General features: G+C 43.4%; 1 protein-coding gene across 3 annotated transcripts; it reads left to right on the top strand.

Moving 5' to 3' along the window:
* CT45A2 (cancer/testis antigen family 45 member A2) lies at positions 1,006-9,404 on the top strand. Of its 3 annotated transcripts, none has more exons than XM_011531389.3 (5): positions 1,006-1,143; positions 4,801-4,975; positions 6,896-7,144; positions 7,525-7,618; positions 8,841-9,404. In XM_011531389.3, the coding sequence occupies exons 2-5, from the start codon at positions 4,807-4,809 to the stop codon at positions 8,896-8,898; spliced, it is 570 nt and encodes a 189-aa protein (XP_011529691.1). In that variant the 5' UTR covers positions 1,006-1,143; positions 4,801-4,806; the 3' UTR covers positions 8,899-9,404. The 3 variants fall into 3 exon arrangements, with proteins under 3 accessions (XP_011529691.1, NP_689795.4, XP_006724846.1); NM_152582.7 differs by having other exon boundaries at positions 1,060-1,298; XM_006724783.3 differs by lacking the exon at positions 1,006-1,143 and adding an exon at positions 1,228-1,315.

Below are 11,139 nucleotides of genomic sequence, written 5' to 3'. Positions count from 1 at the left end.
GGTGTCAAGCCTCCCGAGCAGCTGGGACCACAGTTACACGCTCAGCTAATTTTTGTATTTTGTGTTAAGATGGGGTTTCACCATGCTGCCCAGGCTGCTCTTGAACTCCTGGGCTCAAGGAATCCACCCCTCTTGGTCTCCCAAATTGCTGGGATTACAGACGTGAGCGACCGCACTGGGGCCCTCATTTTTCTTATCAATTAACAATAATGGTTACCTTTAACAGATAGAGGTTGACTTTATTTATTGATTGATTGATTTTTATTTTTAGACAGAGTCTCACTCTGTTACCCAGGCTGGAGTGCAGTGGCATGATCTCAGCTCACTGCAAATTCTGCCTGCCCGGTTCAAGCGATTCTCCAGCCTCAGCCTCCCAAGTAGCTGGTGGGATTATAGGTGCATGCCACCACGCCCGGTAATTTTCTGTATTTTTAGCAGAGACGGGATTCACCATGTTGGTCAGACAGACTGGTCTCGAACTCCTGACCTCAGGTGGTCCAGCCCCTTCGGCCTCCCAAAGTGTTGAGATTACAGGCGTGAGCCACTGTGGCGGGTCGGGGTTGACTTTAAAACACAACCCCCTCAAATGAAAATTGCAGTTTGTTGTTGTTCTTTTTCTTTTTCTTTTCTTTTCCTTCTTTCTTTCTTTTTTTTTTTTTTTCTGAGATGGGGTCTCCTCTACCGCCTGGGCTGGAGTGCAGTGGCTCACTGCTACCTCCACCTCCCGGGTTCAAGCCATCCTCCCACCTCAACTTCCCGAGTAGTTGGGACCACAGGTGCGAGGCCACTAGGCCCAGCTAATTTGTGTGTTTCTTTCTTTCTTTCTTTCTTTTTTGATTAGTTGGTTGCTTTGTAGAGCCGGGGTCTCACTATGTTACCCAGGCGATTTCATCCCGCTGGGTGAGAAGGTTCTGCATTCCTCCGCATACGTTGCTGTGCAGTTGTTACTGAAGGTCGCCTGTAGAGGGCGCCAGAGTCAGCGAAGGGGAGGGCTGCGCTTCCTGGTTCTCTGGGGCACGAGGCTTCTCCTCAGCACTCTGGCGCCCCCAACAGGTTCCCAGTGTTCGGCTGGGGCAGGCACGCTGTGGCTGGCTACTTCCCTTCCTCCCATCCCCCTTGGGCCAAACGGGATCGGTGCTTCTGGTGAGACGCCTCCCCATGCACATCACTCCCAGGTGCCCTAGGGGGCACATTTCCCACAACTCCCAGAGGGCAGGTTTCTAGAAAGTGCCACCAGTGGGGAGGCGCCACAACTTCACTGCCATTTTGTGAGGTGCCGCCGTCTCTCCTCCAGCAAGGTCAGGACTTCAGGACTGTGAGTGGGCAGTTTTTCCCTGGATGCTTTAATTTCGCCCTGGAAAGTGTCCTTTTTCCTCAGAAAGAGTCTTTTCTGTGGTGTTCTCTGTCCGGTGTGTGGGAGGGCTCCCTTGGGGAAGTGGCTTAGCTCTGGGGACACCGCCATGGGCGCCTGTGTCAGCCGCGGGGGAGCGTTTTCCTTGGGCACCCCGTCTCGGCTATGTTGTGGGGCCAGGGGGCTTTTCTTGGGGGCTCTTGTTGGGGGCTCCCTGTCGGTGATGGAAAAGGCGACTTTTCCTGCTGAAATGACCTGAGCCCGGGGGGTGGGGGCCATGCCTTGGTTGCCTGTGTCGGCCTCGGGTGCGGCGGTGTTTCTTTCCCGCTCAGTCGCTGTCCTGAGGGGGGACTCTGCCCTGGGGTCACTATCTGTGCTCATGGAACGTGGTGGGGGTGGCTGTGCCCCGGACACATGATCGTAGCCCTGTGGGGTCACTGTCGGGGGCTTTATCTCAACCTCTGGTGGACTCTTCCTTGGGTACTGATGTCGGCCGTGAGGCGCATTTGTCCTCGGATGTTGCTCGCTCTCAGTTACAATGTGTTGGCTTTTCTTTGGTTCTGCTTATCCCCGTTGTGGACGCTTACTGGATGCTTTCTCTTGGTGCTGGGTTTTTAAAATTATTATCTGTAGGTGCTCTCTCCCGGTGCCGCCGGGGAGTGGGGTAATGTTCCTTGGATTCTCTAAGCCTATGGTGGGACTCAGGGAGCTCTGTGTCAGCCATGAAGGAGGCCACGTGACCTTGGGAACTCTGTCTCGACCCAGGTTGGGGTGCTTTTCCTCGGTTGGTTGATCGCAATTCTGAAGGAGCTCTTTCCTGGGATTCTATCTGACCTTTCAGCCACAGCCTCAGGTGTCTGTGTGGGAATGGGAGTCCAGAAATATTCGAAGGTTCCAGCTGTGCCACATTCGAACACTCGCAGTACAGTTAGTCTTTCATTCCAGCCACTCTGATGGGTGTGCAGTGATCTCTCCTTGTGTCTACACTCGCATTTCTCTGCTGATTAATGAGATCGAGCACCTTTTTAAGAAATTGTTTTTATTTATTGATTTTTGTTTGTCTTTTGAGATGAGGTCTCCCTCTGTCACCCAGACTGGATTGCAGTGCCACCACACCCAGCTATTTATTGTTTTCTTTTTTTTTTTTTTTTTAGCACCATTTTATGTGTTTATTGGTCATTTAACTATGCCTTTTATGAAGTTCCTTTTCAGGTATTTTCCCCCAGCTTTTACTGAGATGTTTGTATTTTAAAAATGGATTTGTAGTTTCCATATATTCTGTATTTGAGTTATACGCACAGGCACACAGGCGTATATGTACATATACAAAAATACATATACAATTTTAGTATCTTCTATAAATCTTTTTTGCTTTTACACGATCTCAATAATGTGTTGTAGATGAACAGATTCTCTTAATTTTATTAATTAGTGTATTATTTATGGATAGTGCTTTTTATTATTTTAAGAAACATCTTTGACTCACCCAATGCCATTACGATAATATTCCTTTTCTTAAAATTATACTTTAAGTTCCGGGATACATGGGCAGAACGTGCAGGTTTGTTACATAGGAAGACACATGCCATGGTTGTTTGCTGCACCCATTGACCCGTCATCTACCTTAGGTATTTCTCTAATGCTATCCCTCCCCTAGCCCCCCAACCCCTGACAGGCCCCACTGTGTGATGTTCTTCTCCCCGCGTCCATGTGTTCTCATTGTTCAACTCCCACTTATGAGTGAGGACACGTGGTGTTTGGTTTTCTGTTCCTGTGTTAGCTTGCTGACACATGTCCCTTCAAAGGACATGAACTCATTCTTTTTTATGGCTGCATAGTATTCCGTGGTGTATATGTACCACATTTTCTTTATCCAGCGTCGTGGCAGGCGCCCGTAATCGCAGCTACTCAGGAGGCTGAGGCAGGAGAATTGCTTGAACCTGGGAAGTGGAGGTTGCAGTGAGCAGAGACTGTGCCACTCCACTGCAGCCTGGGTGACAGAGCGAGGCTCCGACTCAAAAAAAAAAAAAAATGTCTTCCAATGCATGGAAAGAAAATTTTTCTCCATTTACTGCAGTCTTGAATTTCTCTGAGTGATGTTTTATAATTTTTGTGAAGTACTCTAGCACATCTTGATTAGATTTATTCCTAAATATTTGATGTTTTTGGAACTGTTTTTAATGACATTTGAAATCTCATATTCTAATTATTCGTTATACAGAATTGCCATTCTGTATAATGCCATTCATTATACAGAATTGCTATTCATTATACAGAAATGCCATTGGTTTTCATTGTATCTAGTAAGTTGACTAAATTTGCTTATTAACTGTAATGATTTTATTCTTCTGCATTTTTCTATGTACAGAACAATGTCATCTGTGAATAATGACAGTTTTATTTCTTTCCAAATTTTAAACCTATTGTATTTTCCTGATGATATGGCACTTTTTGGAACCTCCAGTAAATTGTTGAATGGATAGTGGACATCTTTGTCTTGTTTTCAAACTCAGGGAGAAAATACTGATACGTCACTATGAAGTATGGCATTTAAAAATTTTTTGTACATATGCTAACCAGAATAGGAAAGTTGCCCTTTTTCCTAAGTTGGTGATAGTTTTTATCACGAATGGACTTTAAACATTGATCCATGTATGAAAATGATCATGCGGTGTTTCCCTGTTTTTGTTGTTGTTGTTGTTGTTGTTGTTAATGTGGTGCACTACATTTGTCGATTTTCAAATGTTAAATCAGTGTTGCCTTTCTGCAATATACTCCACCATGGCTGATGTATGTCCTTTTTAAGTACTAGTACATTTTATTTGCTCACCCTTAGTTTGGAATTTTTGTGTCTAAGTTCGGGGTGATCTTGGCTTGTATTTTTGGCTTGATCTTGTAGTTTTTCATTCTTCTAAATTCCTTGTCAGATGTTGTTATCAGTTTTGTATCAATCTTCTAATAAGGGTTCCTAATAAGGGTTAATACACGTTGGTTTATGCATCTATTTGAATATATAAGCATAAATACTTATATATTAAATATATATGATATATAATATATAATTTAAAATATAATGTATAATAAGGGTTAATACAGATTGGTTTATACATCCATTTTTTCTAATAAGGGTTAATACAGATTGGCTTATACATCTTCAAATAGGTAATAATATTTTTATCTATTTTTGGTTGATGACAGCTGCTTATTCCACAAGCATTCTGATTGATTTGGTTATACCATCTTTCTTCTGTTTTACTTTGTGTACATTAAAATTAGGTTTCTTTTCCTGAGAACAGAGTGTTTGTTGAGACTTGGTAAATCTTGGCTCATGATTAAAAGTGAAATTAATGATTCAAAGTCTTGGTTGTATACACATATGCAGATTGCTTGCCATTTTGTGATTGTTAGATTTTTGTCATGAATAGAATATATTCATTGATGTTTTTCAGGAAACAATGACCGATAAAACAGAGAAGGTGGCTGTAGATCCTGAAACTGTGTTTAAACGTCCCAGGGAATGTGACAGTCCTTCGTATCAGAAAAGGCAGAGGATGGCCCTGTTGGCAAGGAAACAAGGAGCAGGAGACAGCCTTATTGCAGGCTCTGCCATGTCCAAAGAAAAGAGTAAGTAAGCCTGTCCTCACGTCCTCCTCATGCTCCTGCCTCATCCCCTCCAGAGAAACTGTCCTTGTCAAGGTTAACAGTTTCGGCTGACATTGCCATTAACTTCTCAGCAGCATTTGACAGTTGTTTACTCGCTTCTTCATGAAAACCTTCTAGGATTTCCATTTCCGACAATCTTTTTTTTTTTTTTAATTTCTTGTCCGTATTGGTGAATCCCTATCATTTTTTTCTTGAGATGGAGTTTCGCTCTTCTCAGCCAGGCTGGAGTGCAGTGGCGCGATCTCGGCTCACTGAAATCTCCGTCTCCTGGGTTCAAGTGATTCTTCTGCCGCAGCCTCCCGAGTAGCGGGATTACAAGCACCAGCCACCACACCCAGCTAATTTTTGTAAGTTTAGTAGAGATGGGGTTTCGCCATGTCGGCCAGGCTGGTCTGGAACTCCCCCCCTCAGGTGATCCACCCACCTCAGCCTCCCAAAGTGCTGGGATTACACGCACGAGCCACCGCCCCCGACCCCATCATTGTTTTTTTCTACATTTCTTTTTCTTCTCTTCTCTAAATACTGTAAAAAATTCCTGAACCCCAGCATCTCTCTCTCTCCTTCTATTCCACTCTGCCACGATCAATCACTGAGCTCCTGAGATACCTCCATGTTTCCCATTATTTCCCGCATCAAACACATACCCTCCAACCCTGCAGCCGGGTCATGATGTTGGCATGTAAATCACGTGATGCCATGTCGCTCCTGAACACCCATCCTCAACACTCCTAAGCACTCAGAACCGACTGCGAAGCAGCTTTGGTCTGCGAGGTTCTGCGTGGCCTGGCCTCCGTCACCCTCTCCTCACACGGGCCCCATCATCTCCTGACTCTCTCTGCTACTGTCCTTCACCCCGTAGTGCCCGGTCCATCCCCACTCCAGCCCATATCCTTGGCCTCACCGCAACCTGGAACTCCCCCTCTGCCTCTGCGCAGGCAGCTCTGCTTTTTCCTTCAAGCCCTGCCCAAGGGTACCTCCACAGAAGGCTCTGCCCAACCAGCAGCAGCTCCTGGGGCTCCCTCTGCTGCTGTTGCCCACAGGCCTGTGGACTGCTTCCTTACCACTAGCCCAACACTGTATGTTTCATTTGCTCATTGTGCACGTACTGTCTGACCGCCCCATGAGGATGTGAGCTCCACAAGGGCAGGGAACGTTGCTCTCTGGGCTGTTTACTGCTGATCCCCAGCTACCGGCACACTGCCTGCCACAGACGATGAATAAATGAGAGGTGTCAGACCTGGAGTGAAAAGAAAGTCACTTTTGTGAGACAGAAAGGAAGGATGAGGAAAATCATACACTAAAAGGGATTTTTTGTTGATGGAGTACATATAGAACTTTCAGCAGTAATGGCCACCTCTATTTTCTCAGAATATGTTTGATGTAGAGAGGAGGCTGGTTGAGGTGTGTCCAAGTTGTCTGGCTTCCAGCTTAGTAAAACATGGCAGTTTGTAAGTGAATTTGAGAAATCATGATATCAAGTGAGACTTGCTGCTTTCAACTTGTAAAGCATAACAAGCTGAAACTGTCCCATGAGTACCAGGGATCTGTGAATGTTGCTTTAGAGTTGTACTGCCTTACTTGGTTTCCATGTCTATTCATAGGGCCAGAAAATAAGAGGTGGTTTTATTGTATTATGTGTCCTGGCCTCCGTTTGTCAGGCCTGGGATTTCTCCCTGGTGTATCCTCCCATTTATTAAATAAATAATTCCCTAGAAACTGAGGAGCACATAGATGTACCCAGAGGGGTGATGAAACACACATATCTCACAGCTCAACTTCTCAGTTTGATTTCCAGAGCTGTCATTCATGAGGTCTATGTGGAGGGGAAAGAAAGTGGTCAAACACCAACTGATGGCTTTTACTCAAAATCTGTTTCACCAGAGCTTATGACAGGACATGCTATTCCACCCAGCCAATTGGATTCTCAGATTGATGACTTCACTGGTTTCAGCAAAGATAGGATGATGCAGAAACCTGGTAGCAATGCACCTGTGGGAGGAAACGTTACCAGCAGTTTCTCTGGAGATGACCTAGAATGCAGAGAAACAGCCTTCTCTCCCAAAAGCCAACAAGAAATTAATGCTGATATAAAACGTCAATTAGTGAAGGAACTCCGATGCGTTGGACAAAGTAAGTAGTATAAGAATGTCTGTTTTATAAAACTATAGGAAGTCTCTCTTTCTATGATTCAGAAGATATTCATGTTGCCTGTTGAGTTTCATTCTTTGCCAGAGTTGAGATTGCACATAATTTATGGTGGTTCCTCTTTTCTTTGACTAAAGCATGTACATTTTTTCTTTTTCTTTTCTTACTTGGTTATGGTTAAAGGAGTTACATTCGTATGTATGTGCAGGTGTCTTTTTTATTATTTAGGTTTTGTATGTGCAGGTATCTTGATTTAAGCATTTAAAACATTTCAGCCTCTGAAGCATGATTGCTGAGGTGTAGATTCACTTCTATTCTTCTTTATATTTGATAATACTGAAGTTTTTTTTTTTCAACATCTTCAGAATATGAAAAAATCTTCGAAATGCTTGAAGGAGTGCAAGGACCTACTGCAGTCAGGAAACGATTTTTTGAATCCATCATCAAGGAAGCAGCAAGGTGGGTAGAAATAGGAACTGTCCAATTTCTTTAAGCACTTGGGCTCAATAGAGCACTGGGGGTGAGCGTTGGGGAACAGCCCCTGCCTTGCGTTTCTCAAACCCTGGTCCTCACTCACAGTTACGGCTGTCTCCACAGTTACTTAGGCTAATGTTATCTGAGTCTAACTCATTCTTCGAAGACTATGGAGACTTCCATTTTCACCATAGTCTGAGGTGCGCATTGTCCCTCAATTGACACTCTTTGTATTTGCTAGACTACCTCTTTTTAAAAAATTTGTGTAGGCACATAGCAGATGCATATATTTCTGGGCTATATGAGATATTGTGATACAGACAACAATGTGTAATAATCACATCAAGGTAAGTGGGGTTTCTATCACCTCAAGCTTTTATCCTTTGCGTTACGGGGAGAATACAATTATACTCTTCATTATTTTTAAATGTGCAATTAAATTATTACCGACTATAGTCACCCTGTTGGGCTATGAAATACGACATCTTATTTATTCCATACTTCTACGTATTAATCATCCCCACTTCCCACACCCTCCACCCCCACTAACCTTTGTAGCCTCTGGTAACTGTCATTCTACTCTCTATCTCCATTAGTTCAGTTGTTTTACACTTTTACTCCCAAAAATAAGTGAGAACATGTGAAGTTTGTCTTTCTGTGCCTGGCTTATTTCACTTAACATAAGGACCTTCGGTTCTATCCGTGTTGTTGCAAATGACTGAATCTCATTCTTTTTTTTATGGCTAAACAGTACTCTGTGGTGTATATGTACCATATTTTCTTTACCCATTCACGTGTTAGTGGACACTTAGGTTGCTTCCAAATCTTGGCTACTGTGAATGGTGGTGCAGGAAACATGGGAGTGCAGATATCTCTTCGGTACACTGACTTCCTTTCTCTTGGGTATATACCCAGCAGTGGGATTGCTGGATCATATGATAGCTCCATTTTTAGTTGTTTGAGGAACCTCCAAACTGTTCTTCATAGTTGTTGTAGTAATTTATGTTCCCACCAACAGTGTATGAGGGTTCCCTTTTCTCCACACCCTTGCCAGCATTTGCTATGCCGGCTAGACTGCCTCTTACCATGCAGATACATTTCTATTTCCATGCTGACTGTTACTTCATCTTTCTATCTGTCACAGCGCTTCCTACAGCATAGGTTCTTTGGCTATCTTTTGGTTAATGACATGTCTCTTTCTCTTCAGATGTATGAGACGAGACTTTGTTAAGCACCTTAAGAAGAAACTGAAACGTATGATTTGAGAATACTTGTCCCTGGAGGATTATCACACCCCAAATGCATAATCTCATTAATGATTGAGGAGAGAAAAGGATCAGATTGCTGTTTTCTACAATGGAGCAGGATATTGCTGAAGTCTCCTGGCATATGTTACCGAATCAACTGGCCTTCCAGAGGCTAAGAAATTTCTGTTAGTAAAAGATGTTCTTTTTCCCAAAGCGTTTTATTTGAAAGGATAACTTGTGTTTTGGTTATTTTGTATTCCCACCTGTGCTGGTAGATATTATTAACCCATTAGGTAAATACTATTACAGTCGTGGTTTCTGCAGCAGCTCACACTGATGTAGCTGGCGTTTATAACTACCTTCTTTCGCTACCCGTTTCGCATTCCCTTTGCCCTGAGATAGCATGTCAGTTGGTCATGATGCTTGGCCTGGCAGGATGACTCAAACCTTCATTACAGAAGAGTCTGAACCATTAGATATCCTGCCTGGATGGGGTTGCTGTGATTTTCCATTAACTCTAATCGAAAAACACGGGAGGACTAAGAAGCTCTCTAGACATATCACACATACTCTTCCTTAGCCCCTGGTGTGGTGGGAACCCGATCTCAATGTTGAAATCTGTATCATCAGCCTTCAACGAAAAGGCAGAACTAATGGGAGATTTTAATGTGTGTGTGTGTGTGTGTGTGTGTGTGTGTGTGTGTGTGTGTTGGTAGGGGGTATATATACATGCACACACACACTTTCTAATCTCCCATTATACATATAATACACATTACACATATTATATATACACCCCCATATATATATATGTATGCGTGTGTGGGGGGGTATATCCAATATATATAATAAAGGTAGTTCCTAGATAGGATTGGTCTGATACAATAATTTGGAGCTGCAGTAGCAGTCCCTGTAAGGCTGTTGTTTCCAGATAGGACTTGAACATTCTATGCTTTTTATTTTTTTTAAAGACAGAATCTTGCTCTGTTGCCCAGGCTAGAGTGCGGTGACACGATCACAAGTCACTGCCACCTCGACCTCACCCCAGTTCAAGCGATCCTTGTGCTTCAGCCTTCGAAGTAGCTGGGATTACAGGTGCACCACAGGTGCCATCACGCTGCAATTTTTGTATTTTTAGTGGAGATGGGGTTTTGCCATGTTGTCCAGGCTGGTCTCGAAACCTGGCCTCAAGTGATCTGCCCATCTCAGCCTCCCAAGGTTCTAGGATTACAGGCATGAGCCACTGCACCCAGCCCATTCTATGCTTTTTTTTAAAAAATTAATTCATTCAATTATTCAACAAATATTAATTGTGCCAGGTACTTTTTTTTTATTATACTTTAAGGTTTAGGGTACATGTGCACAACGTGCAGGTTTGTTACATATGTATACATGTGCCATTTTTGTGTGCTGCACCCATTAACTCATCATTTAACATTAGGTATATCTCCTAATGCTATCCCTCCCCCCTCCCCACACCCCACAACAGGACCCAGTGTGTGATGTTCCCCTTCCTGTGTCCATGTGTTCTCATTGTTCAGTTCCCACCTATGAGGGAGAACATGCGGTGTTTGGTTTTTTGTCCTTGCGATAGTTTGCTGAGAATGATGGTTTCCAGCTTCATCCATGTCCCTACAAAGGACATGAACTCATCATTTTTCATGGCTGCATAGTATTCCATGGTGTATATGTGCCACGTTTTCTTAATCCAGTCTATCATTGTTGGACATTTGGGTTGGTTCCAAGTCTTTGCTATTGTGAATAGTGCCACAATAAACATACGTGTGCATGTGTCTTTATAGCAGCATGTTTTATAATCCTTTGGGTATATACTCAGTAATGGGATGGCTGGGTCAAATGGTATTTCTAGTTCTAGATCCCTGAGGAATCGCCACACTGACTTCCACAATGGTTGAACTAGTTTACAGTCCCACCAACAGTGTAAAAGTGTTCCTATTTGTCCACATCCTCTCCAGCACCTGTTGTTTCCTGACTTTTTAATGATTGCCATTCTAACTGGTGTGAGATGGTATCTCATTGTGGTTTTGATTTGCATTTATCTGATGGCCAGTGATGATGAGCATGTTTTCATGTGTCTGTTGGCTGCATAAATGTCTTCTTTTGAGAAGTATCTGTTCATATCCTTCGCCCGCTTGTTGATGGGGTTGTTTGTTTTTTTCTTGTAAATTTGTTTGAGTTCGTTGTAGATTCTGGATATTAGCCCTTTGTCAGATGAGTAGACTGCAAAAATTTCCTCCC

This window comes from Homo sapiens, chromosome X, assembly GCF_000001405.40.
Source record: "Homo sapiens chromosome X, GRCh38.p14 Primary Assembly".
Lineage (NCBI taxonomy): Eukaryota > Metazoa > Chordata > Mammalia > Primates > Hominidae > Homo > Homo sapiens.
Note: the sequence above shows the minus strand (reverse complement) of the source record. Positions and strands in the feature narration are given on the sequence as shown.

Excerpts from the sequence above, each read along its gene's own strand:
- CT45A2 (XM_011531389.3), top strand. The coding sequence starts at position 4,807 with ATGACCGATAAAACAGAGAAGGTGGCTGTAGATCCTGAAACTGTGTTT. Across the intron at positions 4,976-6,895 it reads TGCCATGTCCAAAGAAAAGA|AGCTTATGACAGGACATGCT; the intron begins GTAAGTAAGCCT and ends CTGTTTCACCAG. Across the intron at positions 7,145-7,524 it reads ACTCCGATGCGTTGGACAAA|AATATGAAAAAATCTTCGAA; the intron begins GTAAGTAGTATA and ends CAACATCTTCAG.